General features: G+C 34.6%; 1 protein-coding gene across 26 annotated transcripts in view; it reads left to right on the top strand.

The window, feature by feature from the left end:
* DGKB (diacylglycerol kinase beta) overlaps window positions 1-25,613 on the top strand; it is an 829,810-nt gene that overhangs the window by 283,494 nt on the left and 520,703 nt on the right. For all 26 annotated transcript variants that reach the window (XR_001744571.2, NM_001350722.2, NM_001350711.2 and 23 more), the window contains 4 exons: window positions 6,003-6,120; window positions 8,524-8,612; window positions 8,696-8,812; window positions 18,338-18,436. Coding sequence is in view for 25 of the 26 variants with exons in the window: in NM_001350722.2 (NP_001337651.1) it covers window positions 6,003-6,120; window positions 8,524-8,612; window positions 8,696-8,812; window positions 18,338-18,436 (423 nt within the window). In the remaining variant the exon portion in view is untranslated. The remainder of the gene's footprint in view (window positions 1-6,002; window positions 6,121-8,523; window positions 8,613-8,695; window positions 8,813-18,337; window positions 18,437-25,613) is intronic.

The following is a 25,613-nucleotide window of genomic DNA, read 5'->3' as shown; positions in this document are numbered from 1 at the left end:
TTGTGAAGCTTGTCTTGTTAGGTTGTCCTATATGTTATTGTCTATTGTCAATTATGAGCTCGGGGAGTAGGTTCTAATTGATGGTGCATGTAAAATACCACAGTGTATTTGAAAGTGACTGTGGTGTCCTAGTCAAATTACACAGAAAAGGAAGTAGTCCTGGGAGAGTAATCTTCACTTCTAATGTAAGGCACAACATTTACGATTTCAATGCAATTTATTTTTCTCCAGCAACAGCAGTTTAAAAACTAGTCTATTTTAAAGAATATCTATTTTGGTACCAAAATCAGAAATGGAGTTGATGGGGACCAGATTCTATACCAAATAGCAGAGAGCAAGAGCCATATCTTTTCTCTTACAAGAGGCTCTACAAACTTTACAAAATACAAGATGAATGGGTCAGAAATGGTATAGAGTGTTAGTGTCTCTTAGATTTGAAGGAAAATTGAGAATTTGGATGGCTTTGTGATTCTGATTACCACAATGAAAATTTATACCTGAGACTTATTCATTCTTCCTTCAGAATTCATCTCATTGGAGAATTGTTTTTTAAAAAAATCCAATGTAATTAAAACACTTTTTTTGTTGAATAACTTTATATAGAGGTAAACTCTGTTCCAGTGATTGGAAACTGTCTGCAGAGGGAGAGATATTAAGTAATTTTGGCTATGGGGCCATAAGGTCTCCGCCTTAACTGCTAAACTCTGCTGTTCCAGCACAAATGCAATCGCAGAAATTATGTAAATGAACCACAAAAGCTATGTTTTAATAAAACTGCATGTGCAAAAACAGGTTGCTGGCCAGGTTTGACTCAGTGCCATAGTTTGCCAACCGCTGATCTGTTCTATCACTCATTTCTCAGATTAAAAAACAGAAAAAGTTTTAATTTATTTTAATTCATTTGGAAGAAAGGAATCTAATACCTTTTACTTGGCACAATCGGACAACCACAGCAAGACATGAGGACTAATAGACAGAAAGCATAGGAGCAGTGAACGTCATCAAATTGATCAGATAACAGACCTTAGCTCTGTTATTAACTAACTAGGTCATTTTTATACCAGGCAGTTGCTGTCTCCGGAAAAACGAGAAGTTAGCCAAGAAGAGAAGTTAGTGTTTCCTAATACTCTTTCAGTTTGAACATTTCCTTTTCCTGCATGAACAAGATAATTAATAAGGCTTCAATTTCTGAAATCTCTAACTTTGGATCGTCATTTAATTTTTTCAAGGAAAATTCCTGAATTTATATTATAGGGAAAAGAGAAATGTACATTTAAGCAGTAGACTAGCTTGAAATAGCGATACCTTAACTTGTTATTGTGGATTGTTGTACCCACATCTAGCCTGCATGGTTTCTGGATGGTTTATACTTTGGTCTCACTATATGTGTGCCAAAAATCCTGGTCTTCAATTCTTATAGGTCATTTAAACTTTGCCTTTGACTGAGATTGTTTAAGACACATTTTTTTCTTGACTCTCAGTAAAGTAATATGCAGTGTGTTCTCTGATGAAATTCCTGAGTGATGGAGAATAGAAGACTATGTATTATATTTTGGGAGCTGATGTTCAGCACATCGATTTTTAAAAGTTTTTAATTTGGTTAAGAGTTTTTGTTCTGCTGTCTATACTTTGCTCAATGTAGAAAGCAGTTACAAAACTAGATGAATGCAAAAATTCTTGAGATTCCAGATTGTGTCATTTAAGAAAAATGACTACGTGGTGTAACCTGCTGTTGATTTTGCATTTGAGCCTCAGGAATGACAGGTGACCTTACAATGTGTGGTCTGGAGATGAACAGTTGATGACAGCTCCACTCAGAATTTTAAAACTTTTCTCTGCATTCTCTTTGCCCAGGCCTAATAGAGCTCATCTTTTTGTCTAAAAGAGAAGTTTCGGCCGGGCGCGGTGGCTCACGCCTGTAATCCCAGCACTTTGGGAGGCCGAGGCGGGCGGATCACGAGGTCAGGTGATACCATCCTGGCTAACACGGTGAAACCCCGTCTCTACTAAAAATACAAAAAATTAGCCGGGCGCAGTGGGTGAAGGCAGGAGAATGGCACGAACCCGGGAGGCGGAGCTTGCAGTGAGCCGAGATCGCGCCACTGCCCTCCAGCCTGGGCGACAGAGCGAGACTCCTCTCAAAAAAAAAAAAAAAAAAAAAAAAATAAGAGGAGTTTCTGTCACATTGTCATAATTTTTTTTTTGGAGACCTTGGACAAAAAGTAAGGTAATTTAATGTTCTTTGTTATTTAATGAGTTGGAAGTAATTATTTGTAACATTAGCTCCTCTCTCTCTCTATATAAGTTAAGTCAGTTGAAACATAACTAGGTGTGGGGAGAGAAGCATGTGGGTTAGGACATCAATGAAATTTCTCCTTGAGGTCTTCTGAAAAAAAATTATTTATAGTAGCCCTAGTTCACTTGAACATTTTATGTGATCTTGGAAGTATTTATGGAAAAACTAAAACTTTAGAATCACTAGGATAAAGATTTTTATTTATGGAAAAACTAAAACTTTAGAATCACTAGGATAATGATTTTTATTTATGGAAAAACTAAAACTTTAGAATCACTAGGATAATAGGTTTTAAAAGTTCTGAAGAGCATTATTTCCTTTGAAACATCCCTTTGCCTTGTAGGCAACTAAGAGTTGGGGAAAATGTAAAGTTCCTTCTCAGCATGGAGTAGCCTAGGATTCATTAAGCATTTATCTGTCATAAACACGGACCTGAACAGCTTCATTACAATACACAGTGTTATGTCTGGTGATGAAAAAAGAGCACATTTTAATGAAATAAAGTGAAATTTTAGGTATCTTTCTCAATTATTTTGACTGAAAAATTGGGATGTTACACAACACAACCCAATGAGGGTGATAATATTTGCTGTTTATATAACACCCGTCTTCTGAGAAACCAAATTAACTTCACAGGTGTTGTATAATGAAACCTCACACCACGGCCTGGAAAAGGGAAGTGGGTATTTTCCTTTCATTCGAGAGGAAAATAGGAAGAAATAGGAAGAAAGGTGAAATGGCTTATTCACATTTTCATAGTAGGCTAGGAATCAAGCCTTTCTGGATGCCCTGCTTATTTTTGTTTTATAAAAAATAAATTCCCTTTTTTGACAATAAATATATATTTGCAGTGGAAGGACTAATAGGAATGTGCTCTACTGGCTGATAGAAAGAAGGGACAGATTCTTTCCCTCCCCCATTAAGTTTACGATCTAAGTAAGATAAACAAGACAAGACATGAAAATAGAGAGTTGGAGTATAATTTGCACTGCTGAGAAGTAATTGGCTCCTGGTTTCAATTTCTTCTCTTAAAGAAGTCACATACATATTTCATCCCTTGCATATTTTGGCAATGTATCCAGCTAAGAGCTATAAAGCCATTTAATTTGTTTTTTGGTAAAGCATTTTATGCCTGGGTAATGGATTTGTACATCAGTTGCAGCCTGTAACACGGCTAAGTGTTCTGATTGACAGAACACCCACGTTCAGACTTGTTTATTTTTTGATAAGGAAAATGCCAGCTAACTTACTCCATATGTGCTCTTCAAAGGATGAAGCTTATTCACATGTAATGGACAATCATTTAAAAATAAAACGACAAGAATTACAAGAACAGTAATATATACGAAAATTAGCTTTTTGTCCTTTTTATTTAAAAATGTTTTTAAGCACTTAGCTACTACTTTTAATTTTTTAAATATTAATTTAGTTTTTTAAAAATTAACAACCCCATATTTAACCTTTCCACATAAGGATGTTTAAATATTATTTGAGGGGATATAAATTTTAAAATGTAGGCAGTTTTGAAAATATAGCAAAGTTAAATATATAAAGTATTCTATTCACGTGATAAAGCTACTAGAAATCTATGACTCACCGAAACCAAAATAGGAAATTCAGAAATTAATACAAAGCCTATTTCTTAGGTTTTGAAAGAAAATTAAAACACCTGTGTTTTCTGAAGTTTTCTGTATGACACCTGCGTAGCTGTATTTGTTGAGACTTTGTTAGCCCCTTGTCAGAAAGGTAAATCTGAGCAATGTCAAGAATTGTAAAGGGTCCAAAATTTACCCTATTGGAAGTTAATGTATTAGCTTGCCACAGTTTTATGGATGCTGCCAGAGGACATGAGACTCCTGAGTCAGAGACAATAGACTTTGTTATTCACAACAAAGAGAGCAACAGGAGCTTCACGTTTGAGTTCACCTTGCCTCCAAAATCTCATGGGAACGACAGAGTGGGACCCAATTGATGATTGTGCACAGCATCACGTTTTGGAAACCCTGACTTAAGAAAACTAAATGAATTATAATGTGTAGGAAACAAGCCCATTTCACCTTTGCCTACAAGGGAGTGATTATTTTTATTATACTGTAAGTATAGTAAGCAAACTGGCCCTCTCCTCTGGAGGGAGACATGTCTCTATTGTCCAAGGCTAGGCTGTTTGTTACTCAAACATCTTTGAAAAGATAGTCTTAAGAAGAAAAAAAAGAAAGAAAGAAAAAGAAAGGACAGTGCTTCTGTTTGCAAAACATGAAGAAATTCAAGAGACCCACCAAGAATTATCGCCCAGGAAGCATTTCATTAATGTTTCATGTTGTGAGGCAAATTTGACATTTCTGGTTCTAATGTAAGAATTAGTTACTGTAGATTTTCTCTAGTATTACAAATCTGGTGGTTTATCCCTTGACTGGGAATAGGAAAGGTAGTTAGGAGCATTATTATTAATATTTTATTATCAAGAGAAACAAGATGATCTGAATATATTTATATTGCCTCACTACCACAGGAGTAACGTTAATGCCCAAGCACTTAAAACATGCTCAGAAATTATTAGGTGAATGTGTTCCAAGAAATATGACAACTTGGACAACCTGGAAAGTTATGGCAAATAATGTTTTCAATAGAATACCAATAAATGTTAATCTGTTTGATATAATTTGATGATTAGACTACAAACAGTACATGTTAATGGAGAAAATGATGGTAGCAAAAGTAATAATATATAATAATTTCATTTAATATCTTGACCTTCTTGTAAGGAGTTCAAGAAATTCCTAAGCATCATATTATTTCATTTTATTTTAATCTTGAACAATGCAGCTGTGATTAAATACCTACAGGAGTAGCTATTATGATATAGAGAGTTTTACTGAGAAGAGAAAAAAATAAAGTGTTTTGCTAAAGTGGGAATTAATTTAAACCCAAGGTTGTATTGTGGCAAATAACCATAGTGATTGTTATAAATAAAAATATTAATACAGTTTTAATATTTTTACCATCTTTCTGTGAGATTAAAACTACTTATATTTTATAAGGGGGTAAACAAAATGGTAACATAATGAAATCCTTTAAAAAGTTTGCCTTTTAAAATATACTATTTGTGGCATACTCAATGTATTAATATAAATTGGAATATAGTATAAGGACTCCTCGAATGAAGCCCTAGTATGTCACCAATAACTTACCTTTTAGTATTAGTTTTCCATCCCATCCCATTCCTCTGCCACCTTACATGACCTGATCACCATCATGAATTTTGTATATTACTACTAGTAAGCAAGGGTTAATGACGTCTTTGCAGGTTTTTCTTTGTCAGGCTGTTCCACTGAAGGGTATTTTCTCTTTCTCTTTATTTATTTATTTGTTTATGGAATTGTGCTAAGGATAAAGTATTTAAAGAAGAGGCAATCACGTCCCTGATCCATTTGGCAGGTCATGACGATGGCTTGGGGTACGCTGTTGAGCTGTTAATATTAGACAAGGATTTGTGGGTTGCTATAGCATCGGTGATTTGTTAGCACTATCTCATTTCACTGGAGCACATGTGTTTTTCTAAAGGCTCTGCGGTGATCTTGGAGAAAGTCAGGGATGAAATAACAGATTGTCTTCACATGCTTCAGTCCAGCTCTGAATTTCATTGGCACTTACATCTTTCACTGTTTATTTCATTAAGTGAAATCTGTTTCTCTTACGTCCCATGCAGAACGTGAAGGATGATGGACAGCACGTGTGGCGACTGAAGCACTTTAACAAACCTGCCTATTGCAACCTTTGCCTGAACATGCTGATTGGCGTGGGGAAGCAGGGCCTCTGCTGTTCCTGTGAGTACATTTGCTCTGCCTGGACATCATCTCCTCAAGTGAGGAAAGGTTGATTTCATGGAATAGTCTTATTTGTAAATGGAGACCTAAGATCTGATCTGGACTGTCTCTGTACATGTGATTTATATTTTCCTGTAGTGTGTTTTTGAATATTTAGGTTACTCTAATTTCTTCAGTTTTGGAAAAACCTACCGTTGGAAAAAAATGAAGGACATTTTCCAAGTCTTCAGCAATTTTCTTTCCACTGTAGTTTAATTTATTCATGTTTCCCATTTCTTCAGGGATTATTTTGAATATTTCCACTAGTTTTTCATACTTACATCTTATTCATATTCATCCCCCCCTCCCCACATGTTAGTGACTTTATTCACATGAACATCTTATAATGAGTTGATTCCTTTGGGTATTTTGTTTAAGTTACATTAATTGATTAAAAATAGATTTGCATTAAAATTAGGAAATCGCAAGATATACGAACTAATTTTACACCTCAAGCCTATTATTTTCAATGCTAACAGAAAGAAAATCTTCATATATGGTTAATAGACATTGGAATGCAGAGCATTGATGATTAATGAGTCGTGGCCATTTTAAAAATTTCAGTTCACCCATCTTTGCAATTTTCATTTTATTCTGTTAACTCAGGTCTGCCAATTAGAATGTTCTTATAGTGTATATAACAGTTAGTTTATAAAATCACCTAAGTAATTTTAAATCTACAGCATATCTACCTGAGAAAATTTTACAATCCATGATAGTCCTGATAAAAAAGGGTAGATATTATAACCCCTTCATTTAAGTTCTCCATTAATCCATCAATTTATCTCTCCCCAACCTTTTCAGCTTGTACAGAATTACTGAAACTGTCAAGTTCATTAGATACATTCCATTGTTGTGCATTTCATTAAATCTAATTTCTTACTGGCTTCCAATACCATCCATGGTTTATAGGTTTTTTGTTTGTTTGTTTGTTTGTCGTTAGCTAGCAGCTTCTTTGGTAATATGTTTGAGAATTTCCTTTCTCTCAGCTGTGTTACTTGAAATTTAATACCATGTTTTAATGCCACATATGCATATGATTTCTGAACTATTTACGAATTTTAATAAAGTTACCTGAAATTTGCCATGTGTAACATAGTCTCTGACAGCTACGTTTGAAAGTTTAGTTACATGTTAGTTACACTAGAACATTCTCCCTATACAAAGGAAGTACTTTGTTTTTAAAGTTCTATTATATTTAAGAAAAGGAATTTTTATGGTACAGTCTGTTAACAAGAACACATAAAACAAAATGATAAGTCTCAAATAAGATGAGTGATATTATATGAGGAATGAGAATTTTGCTCATAAGTTTTTACTGATTAGTGTGGTGAATGCAATATTCAATATTATTTTTAATACGGAGGAGAAGAGAAAACATGTTTTCTCCCTCAATGTTGCCAAAGAAAATCACAGATATGAATATTTTGGGAGAGTTTTACTATATAAATATTATTTAGATTTAGTGTTTTTCATTTTAATTTGAGGCAGTGGTTAGTTTTTTGCTTTTGTTTTTATTGAGGAGGCTATATGTTTATTTTTAAGTACTGTTTTATATATTTATGCATTTAGAACCCTTAATCTGGAACCAACATTTTATTAAAAGAACACATGTAGTTGACCCTAAATCATATTCAGACTCAAACCATAAAGAATTTGAAGATGCCAAAAATGTATGTCTTGGTTTTCTGACACGTATTATATATATACATAGATACATATATTTGCTTATGTGTAGGTATACATTTGCATAGTGACATAAATTTTTCCATATGTATACAATATGCCGCCCAGCAAAGGCTGTTGCTTTTGGACAAACGATGCCATGATGGCAAGTGAAGGATGAATTTTCACCAAAGGCCTGGCATGTATGATGAAATCTCTTCTCTGGAAATAGACTAATCAGCCATTTAAGATTTAGATAAGAGACAAAATAACATAAACTCATGGGCTTTTATTCCCATACCCGCCAGCTGCTCTCATGCCTATACTTTGTAAAATATAGATCTCTTCCTTCTAGCAAATGACACCAAGCCATTTGGCAGTCATCAATTTGTCTTTAATATTTTTGTCATCTGGGAATTATTGTGAAAAATTTGAGTGAGGACTGATTTAATTAAGCATTTCCTGCTATGCCATGATAGAGGAGCCTTGGTTTTTCACATGCATAATATTTCCTGTACTAATTGGCCTTTTATATTCCATGGTAAAAACAGTCGACTTGGACTTCTCCTTGATGTGGCTGATTGGATTGATTAGGGAGCAGTGGATATGAAATGAGGTTCTGTTAATGTCATTCTTTCTCTATAAAATTACAACCAGGACCAGGATTAGCTCTGAATTTGTGTACCTGTTTCCTTTCAGTCTGCAAGTACACAGTCCATGAGCGCTGTGTGGCTCGAGCACCTCCCTCTTGCATCAAGACCTATGTGAAGTCCAAAAGGAACACTGATGTAAGTTTGTGTGCATGCTTGCTTTCTGAAGGTGGCCATTATGTAGTGTGTCCTCTTATCACAATGTTGTCATTCTGTTCTAGGTCATGCACCATTACTGGGTTGAAGGTAACTGCCCAACCAAGTGTGATAAGTGCCACAAAACTGTTAAATGTTACCAGGGCCTGACAGGACTGCATTGTGTTTGGTGTCAGATCACAGTGAGTAAAAATTGGAAAACAAATCCCAGCATTCACCCACACTGAAGACGTGTATATCATACTCTCTGAAAGTCCTACCCTAGAAGGGCTTCCTGAAACTGAGTGTAAGCATAAAACCATGGAAACTTCTCATTTCAGCTTGTTTGCAAAGAGATAGGCTCAGGGTCAGATTTGTCCCCATAGAGTCCTGAATTTTAGAGCTGGTGACAATCTAAGAGATGATACCATGGTATGGTTTTTAAACTGTGTTCCATGGAGTGTTAGAGGTTCCCAGGAAGGTAATCAGAGGCCATGGCTAGGAGTAAGCAATAAGAATAGGATACTGTTTGGGTAGAACTCAGCTCTCCCTTTACTCCACAACCCTGTTTAATAAGGGTTTTCTGGTTTGCTTATTGTAAACTTATTTTAGTCATAAAATCTATGGGCTTAAAAGGGTTAGAAAAATGAACAATGAGCTTCAATGATTTAAGTACATAGTGAAGACTAAGACCAAAAAAGTTAAGCAGATTGTCCTTGACCACGTGACTAGATAGAAGGGCAAGTAGACCGTGTTTTATTCAGGTCTTGATGCATCTAAAAATTCATCTTACGCTTCTTCCAACATATTGTTGCCTTCCTCTTTCAGTTAAATCATGCATTGGGGTATAAGAGAGACTGATGTAAATGCTTGTCTTGATGGTGTTCACAATTAAGTAAGAAGAGATAAATTGGTCTTTTCTGGGACACTTGGGAATTTCACCTGGTTTGAATGACTGTCAAATCTAGCTTGAAAAAATTTTTGGAATGAATGCAGTTGTTAGATGGTACTTCTACAGTTATATGTGTAATTTCTGTAAGTTAATTAGAATCACACATTTTCAATAATAGCTATTTTTGATAATGTAGTACAAAATATTTATGGGGCTGAGGTTTTGTTTCCCAGCTTAGAGTGAGTATTCGTGTTACAGGACTAAAGTTTTTACTTTTGTCAAAATAAAACAGTAGGAGGCACTGAATCAGTTAAGTAAATAACTGTCTCCACTGTGTCCCCAAGTGCCCCACCCTCAACCCAGGGCTTAAACAATTCTCTTAAATGCTCTCTTTTTCTCTCTCTCTCACACACACACATACACACACACTCACACACACATGCACACTCATACAGAATGATGAGAAAAACAACTGACTTACTTTTCAAAAATACAATTAAGTACTTTCCTTTAAATGAATACATTTTCTGCAATCATTTTCAGCTATTAGTTAAATTATGTTTACATTTGAAATTTTCTCATTATGAAAGATAGTTTTTTAAAAGTGTTTGGTTAGTATAATAAAATGTCTAACGATGATTCAAATTTTACACATGAATTACTCAAACATTGAATTCCCAGTTTTAAGAAGATCATAACTACTTCATTTTTAAAAACATTCATGTAGATTTTTAAAAACCAGTTTTTTTTTTTGCTAAGCATTTACAAACATATGTCATTTTTGTTTCAGACCTTGCAGGGAGCTTCCTCTTATTTTTTTCATATAGTGAATATTTCACTGGTTATATCTTAACTTTAACATAAGCTGAGATTAGATAATATTAGAAATAATTTCTTCTTTGTATCTCCAATTGTTTACCTATTCTTCATAAATTACAAACTTATTGTCTTAGGTTTATTATTCATATTTTCTTTTTTAGTTCTTAAAAAATCAATGTTTTTAAGTGTGTACTCAGTTTGAACCCTCTAAAAACATGCATTGCTGCCTTTTCTAATGGAAAAGCTTTCAAAGCTGTTAGAATTTTCTGTATTTGAATCCTCTCATTCTTTCTCTATTTAATCTCCATGAAGTCTGTCTTCTACCCTTTCCAGTCATGAGAACCACTGTCCTCAAAGTTACCATTGCTAGTGGTCTCTTACTGGTACACAAAGCATCTTAAAATTCTTCCTTTCCTTGTATTATATTCCATTTTGTTTTCCTCATGGTTTTGCTTTTTGTTTTTCTCATTGTTTTCCTTTTTGTTTTAATGGTTCTTCTTATCTGGTACTTCAGAATCCACACCTAGCCCTACCATTCACAAGTTATTCATTTTTCTTTGGTCTTGATCCTGACCCTAGCCTTACAGGAAAAGAGGCAGTTTCTTTTACAGGAAAAAGGATATCACTTTTCAATAGACTGTACTTTTAAAAATCTAAATATCATATGTCTCAAATCAGATAAGACAATATACCCTTAACATTTTATTCTTACACTAAATACCATTGAATAGCTGAATGTGATTTTGTTTGTCATTATGGCAAAGCACAACATAAACAGCAAATGTCTTAAATCCCCAAGTTCAAAATTATTAATAAATAAGTCAATTAATCAATCTCAAAGCTCTATTTAGGAAACAAGGCTAACCAGGGATCTCTGGTGGAGTTAAGGCAGAGTCAGAAAGAAAAAAAAAGGCTGCCCTCTTACTAAACTCTCTAAAGTCCTGAGACTTTTATCCATCCTCAGCCTTATTTTCTATAAACAATGAGCTTTAGGGGTCTTATGGGTATTAAGTTCATAAAACACAACTTGTGCAAATTTTTAAAAAGTTATCATATATCCAGGAGACTCTATCAGTTTCTCAAAAGTCACTTCAGCCTCCATCCAGTTCCGGATTTTTAATTTTAAGCAATTTTAGGGACACATTTACTTAATTATTGATTTTGTGCCTTGGTTAAACAGGATATATTTACCTCAGAACATTTATGTATTTAGTAGTATTTATAGTTTTCTATTGAACCATTGCATGAAAATTTCAGCATAAAATTGATCTGCTCTTGACTGATGAGTATCTACTACTACTGCTTGCCTTTAAACAACTGAATGTACTTTCTTTTGCTCTTACACTTTCCAGAAAGTACTATGGACATAACAAAGAGCTAGCAGAAGTTATGGGAGTAATGGGATATGGCACTGCCAGTGCTGGCTTCAGAAAGGCCTATCTGAAATTCGGGTTCCGTGAAGAATATATTGTAGAGAGAAACAGAAAGAATGATGCTTGGCTTTCTTTCAGGGTTTGTCCAAAAGCCATTACTTCCTTTTATATATGACTTTTGGAAATGATTTGACTGTTGCAACTCAGACCAACCAGATTCTTAAGATCGTCTCCTCACTTACTAGTTGTGCCATCTTGGGCCATTTATGTAACCAGTTTAGACAAATTTCCTAATGTGTCAAATGGAGTTAATGATACCTAAGTTATTAGATTATTATGAGGATTAAAGGGGCAAAAAATTCTCTGTAGATATGTTTAGGACAAGACCTCATACATATTAAGTGCTTAGTAAGTAACAATTATATTTGTGGGTATTATGAAATACATAAATACATTTGGGTGCACATAAACCAATCCCTGGTTTTCCAGAGGGCACTCCATGAAGAACACTTACGTCATTTCTCTCTCTCCTGTAGAAGGATGGATAGTTGTCCAGTCTGAGTCAGAACAGCACCTGCATGCACTCAAAAAAACATCCAGAATCCTGTGGTCCTGAATCTCACTAAATCCTAAGCCCAACTGACTGATTTTTATTCCCAAAGACTGTTACTACAACTCTCTCATTCTATCAGACCTGGTATTGTCATGCTTCCAGTCACTGGAAAAAAAGTTTGAAGTCAATTTTTTTTACTCTTGTCTTTTACCTTTATCTCTTGTACACAACCTGTCACTGAGTCTTGTCATTTCCTACTTAAAATATCTCTCTCAGATTTGAGGTTTTGTCTCCACATTCGCAGCCCTAGTGCAAGCTCTTAGCACCTCTTGACTAGATTAGAGTCAAAATCTCTTGGCTCATCTCCCTAACAGAAGGTACTTTTCCTATAATGCAGGCTGCATACCACCTCCAGAAAGATCTTCTGAAAATACTAGTTTGTTATATGCCTTCTTTAGCAATCTATAATAGTTCTGTGATAATAAATGCAGCCCTCAACACCCCTTGCATCAAGTTGGTTTTTAGTTCTTTAGAAATCAGAATCAAACCTAAACATAACTGTATATAATATTCCTCTTCTACACACACCCTCTGCCATAGCTGTGTATTTCTGTTGGCAGTCCCTTGGGGAGGCCATGTTTCCCTCATGCCTACTATTTTGTTCATCCCGGTCCCTTGAATGCACCTGTCTTAAATTCTAATCATACCTTAGGAAACAAGTTAGGTTACCTGTCTTCCTTGAAATTTTTCTTGACGCTAATATATCTTGATTCTGAATAGTTTCTGTACTTACATTCCACATCCAAAGGAAAAACTCAAATGCTCTCCATTGGTTTCACACCATAGTCTAACATCGTTTGCACTGTTAACTGTGGCCCGCTCCTGTTGCTTGTCCATGTCACACATTTTTTCCTAATCACCTGAAGTTCTTGACAAAGTACTGAGTGTAGAAAAGTCTTCAGTAAGATCACTTTAATCTCTGATATGCTATTCTTACAGTAGAATATTAAATTTCAAACATATGTACTATTTAAGTTTTGTTTTATAATATCATCCTGTAATACTCAAATCTCCATCAGATATGCAAGTAAACTTAAACAAATACTTAAGAATCAATTTTCACACCCATTTTTCAGTTCATACTTGCAGTTTCTTGATTTACTAGTTGGCTATCTTGTAGATATAAAGTTAGGCTCTTAGAATGAAATTTTCTGTTCATTTGTAAATCTAGCCACTTCAAAATTAAAAATACGAAAAGCTTAGGAAAGATCAGTGGAAAACTGCCTTCTGATAATTAGGCAACCAGTCTCTGTGTTTTATATTTCAATCCTCTGTGACAGGCAAAATATTCACCTCAGTTCTCTTTTCTGTCTTGATTACTAACATCCTTAATATCCCACTGCTTATACCTGTTCATTTCTTCTGAAACTGTGTTTTCTTGACCTTCGTTGTATAACATGTTGTGAATCATTGCTTGTCAAGGTAAGCTCTCACTGGTCAGGCAGGACTCACCAGGATGGGAAGTTGAGGGATTTTATTTAGGCTTGAAAAAATAACACCTATTTCATAAAAATGAATTACTAACTTTTGCTATGATATAGAGATAATATTGTTTATTAAGATACTAAATTCCTAACAGTAATGTTTAAAGGTTTCCAATGCCATGGAAACATTTCTGCTTCAGTAAATGCCAGTCTTAGGAAGTACCCCAAACTGCAAAATATTAGGGGCCAGTGTAACAGGTGAACCAGTAAATATGTGCCTCCAAATCAGGTCTTCAAATTTTTCTTTAGAAAAGTAGCTTATTTCTCTTCTTATTTTCCTCTAAATTCCTATGAACACTTATTTTCCATTTTTCCTCCTTTTGACTTCTCAGATCCCATTTTCTTCTCTGACCAGCGCAGCCACTCTTCCTAACTCCATCCATAGAACTATATGCTGGCACACATGCACACAGACATCCACACACTTTCTTTTTCTTTCTATCTTGAGACAGCTTTTTCTAATAAACATAGATCTGGCTCTAAATTAGGTGCTACTGGAAGTTGTCATAAACTCTGAAATTATTTCCAAGTGTTTAATTCACTTCCAGGAAAAGCTGGTTTCTATTATATGATTTTCCTACATATGGCACTGAATCCCTTAACATGAATGGGAATTTCTGGATGTATATTTAAAAATGAGCTAAGGATTTCTATGCCTTGGCTTGAAAAAAATACAAAGATAACTGAACAAAAATGTTTTTTTAAATTTTAAATAGTAAACATTTGATTTTCTCTGGTGCGCTATTGGTTATTTTACTAAAGAGGCAGCATCTTCAATGCTGTAGTTCATTTCTATTCTTGATGAGGACCCTGGTGTTTAGGATTTTGCTGATTTGGGATATAGGTTATCTTTAAAACAATAGTCAGCCTTCAGCATCTTATTTACACTGAGAAGGACCCAGCTGTGTCTTTTTCTTATATTCTTGTCCACGAAATATGATGATAAGTTTAAGCAACTTTCTATTGTTGATGATATTCACTTATTTAATTTTTTTATTTTTAATTTTGTGGGTACTTAGTAGGTATATACATTTATGAGGCACATGAGATGTTTTGATACAGGCATGCAATGTGAAATAAGCACATCATGGAGAATGGGGTATCCATCCTTTCAAGCATTTATCCTTTGAGTTGCAAACAATCCAATTACCTTCTTTTAGTTGTTTTAAAATGTACAATTAAATTATTACTGACTGTAGTCACCCTGTTGTGCTATCACATAGTAGGTCTTATTCATTCTTTCAAACTATAAAAAGCTTTTCATTGAAGGAAAGTGTACATACAGAAAGGCATTTATATCCAAAGGGCAGAGCCCAATGAATTTTCCCCACATGAATGTTCTGTAAGCAGTACCTGATCAGGAAACAAAATATTACCAGTATCTTAAAGAAAAAAAATTTGTAGCTTTTGAATTCTATTGTATAATTTTGTTGATTTTTGCTTTTTAAAATAGACTTTATGATTTAGAGCAATTTTAAGTTCACAGCAAAGATGATATTCACTTTTACACTTTATAGGTGGTCCTGAAAATGATACACATTTTTCACATTGGCTTTCACATTGTATATTTTTTCCTCAAGTATATCTCCAAGAAATATGATGCATAAACTAAACCTGTCATACAAATTTGATTCACGACTTGTAAAATGATCCGTACTCCTAACATGATGCCCTCAGTTTTAACACTCTTGGCTACAAACAACGTCATAATGTTGATGGTTAAGAAAATGTATTTATTAGCTGCCAGATTCTAGTCTTAATACAAGCATAAGGTATTCCTGCATATTATCAAATATAGACTTCTTGGTTAGGAGAATTTTCTTGCATTGTGTGACTCTGTTTAACAGATGATAGTATGGTTACTAAACTTATAGATCCTCCTATGTCTTGGGGAGTGCCTTACGACCGCCTAGACAAAACTCAGGACCACAGCGGCAATCAAACTGGGAAATCCCATACTAGATTTATTTGGCTCTGCAAAGACCAGAATTTCATGGAATCAACTGTCAGTACCTATGCTCTGAAACTCCCAAATCCCAATATACAGAGTTGCCCCTTCACACACACTCTGGTAAGCTCATCTATTGCATGATTCTATCTGAGTCTTCGATTCTTTCCTTCCTTCTGGGAAACTAGCCTAAATGCCCCCAAACTATCATCAAATTAATTTTATTTTTGTCATCCTTTCTTACATCAGTAACCCTCAAATAACTATACAGAGAGCTTAGTCGTCCTTTACCATGTCAGTTGCAAATTGTTGGAAACACATGGATGGAGGTGTGGAGGAGGCTGAGGCCTCTGACTGCATCTGTAGTCAGCGTTGGCATAAGACTCAGTATGTCCTGCCCCTGTGGCCTTCAGAGTCACGTGTTTAGCTTTACACTGTAATCAAGAATAATATTTCAACACTTTCTTGCTGTAAACACAAATAGGTTTTTATCTCAGATCTGTTTTTTGTAGAGGGTTCTTAGCGTCTGTTTTCTCAGTTTTAAGGAAGTTGCCCAAGATTAAAGAGCCAAAGCTCTTTCTCTGTGACATCCATAGTGCAGCAGAGTCTTAAGACCCATAATCTCTCTTTGGTTTTAGTGCCGTTTTCATAGTACTGGGTTTATTAGTTTCCTAGGGCTGCTGTAACAAAATGTCATATAATAGGTGCCTAAAACAACAAGAATGTATTCACTCATAGCTCTGGAGGCTAGAATTCCAAATGTCAGCAGGTCATCCTCCCTCTGAAGGCTTTCTGGAAGAATCCTTTTCTGCTTCTTCCTAGCTTCTGGTGGTTGCCAGCAATCCCTGGAATTCTTTGTCTTGTAGTGCATCACTCAGATATCGACCTATGTTATCAGAGGGACTTCTCCTCTCTGTGCCGTTGTCTCTCTGTCCAGATTCCCCTCTTCTTATAAGGACACCAGTCATTGGATTAGGGTCCAGCTAAACCAACATCTTAGCTTAAATACATCTAGAAAGACCGTATTTCCAATTAAGTTCACATTCAAAGGTCCCAGAAGTTAGGACTTCAGCATATCTTTTGGGAGAAATTGATCCATCCCAACACTTGCTAATCTGTTAACTCTAAATCCAAACATCCATGGCCATGGCAGATTCTAAGAAAGTTAATTACTAGGTCCAATAAATTAATAATACATTTTAAACAAGTCACTAATTTTATTTTGAGGAAACTATACCTTTTAATTTGCTCTGAGTATCAGTTTATTTAGTTCTATTGTGCATTCAGCTGCTTCTCTATCTTCAACACTTCTTGCCTCTTGACAAAGACCAGTAGTGCCTAATACAATTAAATCACTTTTTTATAGAGAAGTTTATATGCCCCTGAGAAGCAGAGCTGCTAATTATGGATGAACATGGAAAGATACGTTTATTTCATGTAATGTAACCTAATGGGCATTAATTACAGTACAAGTCATCTTAACTCCAATGCAGGGAGTTAGCATGACAGCAGTGTTAGATTCTAGGACCGCAGAAATACCTCTTTGATACTGTTCTATTACTAAAAATAAATCAACTCTCATTAGACTCCTATGCTTAGTTGATAATTAACTGCTCACAAAGGTATGTATGTTGTGGAAATTAATGCAGCCAAGGCTTAAATGAGGTAGCTTTTGATTCAAAATGGAAAAATAATGTGGCTCTTTTTTGTTTTGAACATAACATGTTATCTTATTGAAATGTATATTTTTTTCTAAAGTATGAAGAGTTCATATCAAATTAATGCATAGTGCAGGAGGGAGAAATCTCTAGATGCCCTCAAGCAAGTATTATTTTACCAAATCTGTGTAATTCTTTAAAAAACTACCATCTCAGTTTTAAAACATCACTATTTAAAACACCACGTTGTAACACCTTAATGTAAACTTATGACCAGGTTAATAAAAATATTAGTTTGGGCTCATACATATTAAAAAATAAATAGGACATTGTATGATTATATACTAACTTAACGTTGAGCTGATAAATACAATATACAGATAAATTTTTATAATCATAATCATCTTCTTTTATTTATATCCTGCTCCTACTGAGATGAATCTCTGGTTACATTTACATATTGAATTACAAAGTTAAAACTAATGATGGGATCAATTATGCCCCATACTGAGCTGTGCACTTTGGAATGACTTTGAGAAAACAGGAGGGTCAAAAAAAAAAAAAAAAAGCATACACAGGCACAGTGGTTTCAAGATTATGCTAACAGATAAGCAAAGGAAGAACTGTAATGGACAATAATTTGTGTTTGTCAAAGAAATCAGGGTTCTTTGGTGTAAAACCTAAAGTACATTTTTAATATAAACATTTCTGAGAATTATAAAATGTATAGAATGGGTCACAGAAGCTGCTAGATGGTTTATTTAGGGTTCATATATAAGGACAAATGTATTATGAATTCCTTTATGACTCTGTTTATTTGTTCTTATAATTTCTTTATTGTACTTTTAATGTGTTTGCTGTATCTCGATTGAAATATAATCTCCCCCATGTTAGGCGTTGTCATGTAGAATTTGATACTATCCCCCTTTCTGTTTTTCTAGCTGCATAATAAATGTGCTTCTCATCTAAAACCTGAATGTGACTGTGGACCTTTGAAGGACCATATTTTACCACCCACAACAATCTGTCCAGTGGTACTGGTGAGTTTTTCCTTATCATTCTACTATAACTTAGGATTGCTGTGACTTATCAGTATCGTATACCATTAAAAGCTTCTAGAGATAATTTTTCATCAATCAAGGTAGAAGTATATAGATCTAAAATACGTCGTTACTCTGAAACAGAACACCTTTGTCCACTATATTTCCTTTTTCCTTCTGTCAAAATACGCTTTCTAGAACGATATGCTTGAAATGACGCTGACTCAGGTTTTATCACTTAGTCGTGCTGCTACTTACCAGGAATTGTAAAGGCAGAAGACTTCAACATTTTATATATTTTATAGATCTAGCTTCCCAGAATAATGAAGTTATTCTTATGGGCAATTTTGCTGGAGATGCACATTATATATCTGCAATGTTGAGGGCTCTCATCTAGGTTAGAGGCTACCTAAAATGATGACACATCCATGAAGAAAGTTATGCACTGCTATTAGCTGTTTTTTAAAAAAAAAATTTTATTGAACAATAAATTTAACTACCTGCAAAATAATTACTTAATTCAATAAGTATAGAAATGAAAATGCATGAGTAAAGTAACTATGAAAAGAACGAACCTTGGTAGGAAGAGAAGCAGATATTCAAACAATATTCATATTCAAAACCCAAATTACTTTGAAAATTAAAGTTATTTTAAAAAACAAACTATTTTATATCCATGATGCACTTCTCATTTTGAAAAACAACATGGAAATTAAATGGCTGGAACTTCCATTTGATATAATAAAATTATAACAACTAAGAAATGATAGAAAAATACTTTTCTAAAGGTCAACCTAGAAATTAATCATATTACTCATTTTGTACCACTTATGATTCTAATTATCTGTAAAATACTGGTTGTATTTTAAATGCCTTTATTTCACAAAATTATTAAAAATGCTTCATTTTCTCAAACTACAAAAATAGAGGAAAAGAAAATACCTCCATATTGCTGAGTATAGCAATAACTAATTCTAAATTTCCTTTCTTCATGTAAGGTTTATTAGACATCCTATGGTAAATAAGATTAATTAAATAAAATGAGAGCCATATAAAAATACTTTACATTTTAGGTTAATTTAAATGTTGTTTTTATTCATTTAAGTGTTGTCTTGAAGACTTCTAGAATTTTTGTATTATTTATATTCTTATTTTGAAATATGGCAATTTTACTGGTTTAGATGCATTTTTGATCTCAGATTTTAACTCTAAGATGAGATCTATGATTTCTTCCTACTACCCATCTGTCTGTGCAAGACCCCACTCAATTCAGTGAGCCTGGGGTCTGCCTCCTTGGCCCACTTATGTCAACCTCTAGTTATATAAATTCAAACATAAGGTGTATTCTTTTTATTATGCTATCACTTCTTTTTTTGAGAGAATCAAATGTAAAGAGCGTGTGTTACGTGAATTTTCTTGTCTTTGAACAATCTTGAAAAATCTTTCATTGCTGTTTTTAGACAGTTTTTATTCTGAAGATTCATCTCTAATCATTAAATATCCCCACAGTTTTAATAATTTATATCTCAGCATTTGTTGTTTACCATTTTTGTGGTACTATCTACTCTGAAGCGTGTGATGACTATTGAGCATTTCGTCCTTCCAAAATGTCTACCTTTCATTGACTTCCATTATACCTCACTCCTGGTCCTTTCTCTGTTTCTCTGGATACTTGCTTTCAGTATCTTTCCTGGGTTCACAATGTCGACATGCCCATGTCGGTGCATCCCTGGATTCTACCCTCCTATGTCATGGCATTCCTCTCTTAGTATTCTTCTCAATGAGATCTTGTTTATTCAGTTGATTGCATTACCATGTTAATTTATGTTCAGCTCATTATCCTAAATTCCAAACCTAGAACTGCCACCTGCAGGACCCATATTATTTTAAGTGCATATACCCGATATATTATTATTTACTACTGCAATAATTATAGCTCTTTTGATTGAGCATATATGCTATCCCAGAGACTATGCTAAAATATTATTTAATTTATTCAGTAAATATTCATTGCATGCCTAGTATGTGCCAAACAGTATTATAGGTAGGAAAGAAAACATTAAAACAAAGACAAATCTTTGCTTTTATGGAGTTTACATTCCAGCAGGGGTAATGTAGACAATAAACAATAAAACTAAATAAATTATTTAGTACCTGGTTGTACTAAAATACATAAACAGAGTAGAATGTTGATCCCTGAAGATATGAAGAGGGGAGGAGTGGGGAGATGTTGGTCAAAGAGTACAAAGTTGCAGTTACATAAGATGAATAATTGTAGAAATCCAATGTACAGTATGATGACTATAGCTAATATTGTACAACATGGCTGGGCATGGTGGCTCACGCCTGTAATCCCTGCATTTTGGGGGGTCGAGGTGGGTGGATCACTTGAGGTCAGGAGTTCAAGACCCCCCCTGGCCAACATGGTGAAACCCCATCTCAACTAAACATACAAAAATTTAGCTGTACGTGGTGGCAGGCACCTGTAATCCCAGCTACTGAGGAGGCTGAGGCAGGGGAATCGCTTGAACCCTGGAGGCGGAGGTTGCAGTGAGCCAAGATTGCATCACTGCACTCCAGACTGAGTGACAGAGTGAGACTCTGTCTCAAAAAAAAATGTGTGTGTGTATATATATATATATATAGTATAACATACTGAAAATCTGCCAAGAGACTAGGTGCTCTTAACACACATACACACACACACATGCACACACACAAGGGTAACTATATGAGGAGATGTGAGGAGATGGTTATGTTAATTTGCTTAACTATAATAATTATTTCACTATGAATATTTACACTATTGAAAACAAAATAACAACACATTTATTTATAGATCAAATAGGCCTTTATTCATGAATTAGGACAGCATCTATTCTACAGAGTAGAATGAGAGCTCCCACTAGACATAGAACAGTGGATTTTGTAAGGTGGGAACAAGAAAACACAATAATACAAAACAAAAGCTGATTGTTTAACATCATGTTACTTCAGGTTACTCTTTGGGTAAAGAGTTAAAGGAGAGGTTACATCCTTATTATCCCAAGTCAGGTAGACTTGAATTTCACATTTTTAGAAACAACTGATGTGTTCTGGGATTCAGTTTGCTTCCTTAAAATTTCAGCTTGATTATGTGACACTTTAGTACAAGTTGTTTGTACTAAAGTTTGGTTTCCATTTTGGTTTGGTCTGGTCTGGTCTGTTGGGGCCTCCTGTAGGAGCTCAGTCCAAAACAATGGACTTTGATAATTTTTGTTTAACAATATCAAAACATTAATTGTACAGTAATCATATGCCTTAAATATACACAATAAATAAGTACTGGTTTTGTTTTCAATGTCAAGGGAAAAATTAAAGCAGAGAAAGAAGAAATGTTGGGGCTGCAGTGATAAAAGAGGCTGTCAAGATGTTCACTGAAGAGACAGTTGAGTAGAGTTGAGTGATTTGAGGGAGTCACCTCTGTGGCTATCTGGGGACAGAACTTCACCAACAGATTCTGAGGCAGTAGACACTTGACAGATCTCAAAGGCACTGGGGGGATTAGTGGCTAGCCCTGAGTGTATAGGAGGAAAAATAGAAGTTCAAAGATATCATACGATTTTTATATTGGGTGGGACAATTTAGGTCGTTGTAAAATCTTTGGCCTTTACTCTGAATAAAATAGGAAGCCATTAGAGGATTCCGACCAGAACCAGAAATTATCTGACTTATATTTTAAAAGGAACAATCTGTGTAGTGTTGAGGGGCAACAATGGCAAAAAGATATAATACTTCTGTTTTCTCAAAGAAATAGAAACCTGGGTCATTAGCTAGAGTGAGGATGGTGCAAGATGTGTAAGAAGCCTGTGTCACCTAGGAAAGTGGGAACAAAATTGTTCAAAGAAACTGTGATTTTCAAGGAGAAAAGAGCAGCTACCTCTAGTTAATAATCATCCATTTAGTATATAATTCCAGTCGGCTTGGATGAATATATTTCTTTACTCACATTCAGTCATATTTATCTAGTTACATTCCAGCTTTATGAATGGAATAGGCACAGCCCAGTCTTCATGTGACCGTGTCTTTTGGCAAATGTGATGTACAGAGAGGGCAGCCAGAGAGTTGAGAATATATGCAAAGGAGTAATTGTAAGGCTTAATCGTGGAATTTGAGCTGGAAGTGAGGGAAGTAAGAACATTAAATATGAGGTACAGTAATAGATTTTAGAAATAGTACATTGTAAATTACAGTGAAGTCAAAGGTTGTTGGAATCAAGGTAAATGGTGTCAGGTTGAGAGTGAGTGAGGTAGGAATTGAGATTATGAAGGGGTATGGTTATAAGTAACACAATATATAAATTCATTTTGTTTTCAAAGTGACAACATAAGATAAATATTATAATTGTTCCCATTTTACATATGAGGAAACTGAGAAACAAAGAGGTTAAGTAAATTTCCCAGTGTCCCATGAATAGTACATGGCAATTTAGAAGTGGAGCCCGAGTGGTTATCACTCCAGAGCTGTGCTCTGAGATTTTCTCCAAATCCCAATAGAGAGATTTTATCTGTTGTATCTCAGCTACTGAAACCTTCACACCCCAACTTTCCCAAACTAGAAACCTAAGTAGCATTTTTTATTTCTCATCTGGAATATAATATTACTCAATTCTATTCTAATGTTCTTAATCCTGTCTCTTTACTTCAGCCCAACTGTGACTGTCTTGTATACCAGCCTCACAAATTTTATTCTAGGATTGTCCCAGTAGCATCCTTGTGAACTACCTCCTTTCTGTACACCCCAACCTGCTTCCTGGGTCAACTTTCAAAAAATGCAAATATTATAAGTCCCTCTCACTCTTAAAATATTTTTGGTGATTCCCTATTTGAATCCCAAACACTCTATTACAGTAAACAAGGGTCTTTAACTGGATCAACCTACTCATTCTCTCATATAGTACCTTATCCACTAGAAATCAAGGATAATTGAACTGCTTGTAATTCTTTAAGTGCACTTGTTGTGTCAAGCCCTTCGGGTCTCGTATGTGTTAATAAATCAATTTAAATCACTTTGCTTTAAAATTTTGCCCACCTAGCTAAGTCCGAATTAAAAGGTTACTTTCTTGTCACGGAATAAAAATATTGACTGTTGTACACATTAACTATTTAAGTGATCATACTTCAAACAAATTAATGAAACTGTTCTGCCCACAAAATTGCTTAATCAGCTCCAGCTGATAGGCTCTGAGCCTTTTCAGTCTGCGAACTTTCAGTAACTTTCCAGGAATAATTTCACACTGCATGACCTGTAGCCCTTCATTTAAAGCAAATCGTTAGTCCTCACATATATCATGTTGTTTTGGTTTTTATTATTTAGTACCAGTTTCCTCTTTAAGAAATTGTATGCCCCAGTTTCTTTGGCTAATCTTCTCTAAGAGGAGCAGATGAGGTTCAGACTCAGTTAATACAAAGTGGATATTGATATTATCTCTATCACATTATAAAAAATATTAGAGAACTTAAGATGTCTAGTTTTATTTTTTCCTTAGTCGTTGACTCTGTAGTTAGGAATTGGTTATTGAATGACCTCTATAAATACAGCGTGGATCCTTAATTTCTGGTTGAAGCTCACATAGCCTTGTATCTTAATGACATACCACAAGGTCAAGATCCATAGCCATTGTCTTCTCATATTTTAGAACACCTTCTCCAGGGTCATTAAAAAAAATTTGTACCACCCTTCTCAGCCTTCCCATTCCTCCCCAATCGTTGTTATAAGCTGTAGGTTAATGATTCAGTAGATATATGCTCACCATTTCCAGAGATTAGCAAGGTAAGCATCTCCTCTGCACTGATGAAATGCTTTTTATAAGCATGCATTACAAACGGCTTTCACAGATAATTGGCCTTGATAATGGCTGTTGCCATAAAAATGGGTTAAAATCAACTACTCTGAAATTAAAATTATTATCATATGGTGTTTTCATTCAAATAAAAATTAAACAATGATTCCCTACATCAGATATAATTAGTTTTCTGAGGTTGCAATTGGCATCCAGTATCTTTTGAAAGTACTATCAAAAATCTATATTACTTAAAATTTATTTAATGTGTGATTTAGTCAAGATTTTCCCATGACTGTGTTTAGGTACTTAGAATGCTTTTTTTTAAGAAAAAAAATGTTCTGGTAACAATTATAGCTATAGTTCATTTACTGCCATATTGAAGAGAGGTCAGAAACTGTTTACAAAGGTAGATTTCCTTAAATCCTCCCCTTATTTTACTTCCAAAAAAATGTAGGATGAATCCCAACTCATCGAGACTCATGATAAGCTGCTTAATTTATAAAAGGCCATTAACCCTTCCCAACTGATTGTCAAAACAGATGTTCTGCCTTTAATAGAATCTATTAAAAAATGCATTCTTGGTTCTTGCTGCAGATAACACACTGAAATCTCAGCTGGCCAATCCAAAACAAAGTGACATTGCAAATAAATTTTAATAATCTCATATGGAATATGGCCTAATGAGGCCATATGCAAGCCACTCACTCTTCTATGTTCTAATTTACCCCTAACTCAAGACAGATGTAGTCTATGTTGTTTTAGCCCTTCTCAGTTTCTCTTAAATTAAATTGGGCTTCAGCAATTATGTCATCAGCCTGCATTGAAAGGGAGTTTTAAAAATTAATCATATAAAACTCCCTATTTTAACAAAAAAAGATATGTTGGAAATGTCCTTCATTACCTGACAAAAGTTCTTCTCAGTTCTGTTTATCATGATGTTATCTCTTAGACTTCATGTGTCGTTGCCATCATGCTTTTATTTTTGGTACTTAAGAAGCTTATAATTAAATTTATACTAACATTGAACTATGATGTTGGAATATAAGTTGTTTATTTTTATGTGTTTATATATACCTTTATCACTATTCTATTCATAAATTTCTCTTCTGTTTCTCTGCAATGGCTTAAGTCCATACTTTTGAAATTATTTTGGGTAGTACATAAATTTGTGAGGTCACAGAAATCGATAAAATAGGCCTATAGAATCCCTTTGATTTTAGAGTAATCTCATATAGGAGGCTACAAATCTGATCAATTTCTCTAGAATTATATTTTAGTTTTACATTCATTCTAAGTTTTATATAATTTTTATGATGAGGTAAAGTGGCTCTTTAAGAGTGCACATATTTATGT

The sequence above is a fragment of the Homo sapiens genome, chromosome 7 (assembly GCF_000001405.40).
Source record: "Homo sapiens chromosome 7, GRCh38.p14 Primary Assembly".
Classification (NCBI taxonomy): domain Eukaryota; kingdom Metazoa; phylum Chordata; class Mammalia; order Primates; family Hominidae; genus Homo; species Homo sapiens.
Note: the sequence above shows the minus strand (reverse complement) of the source record. Positions and strands in the feature narration are given on the sequence as shown.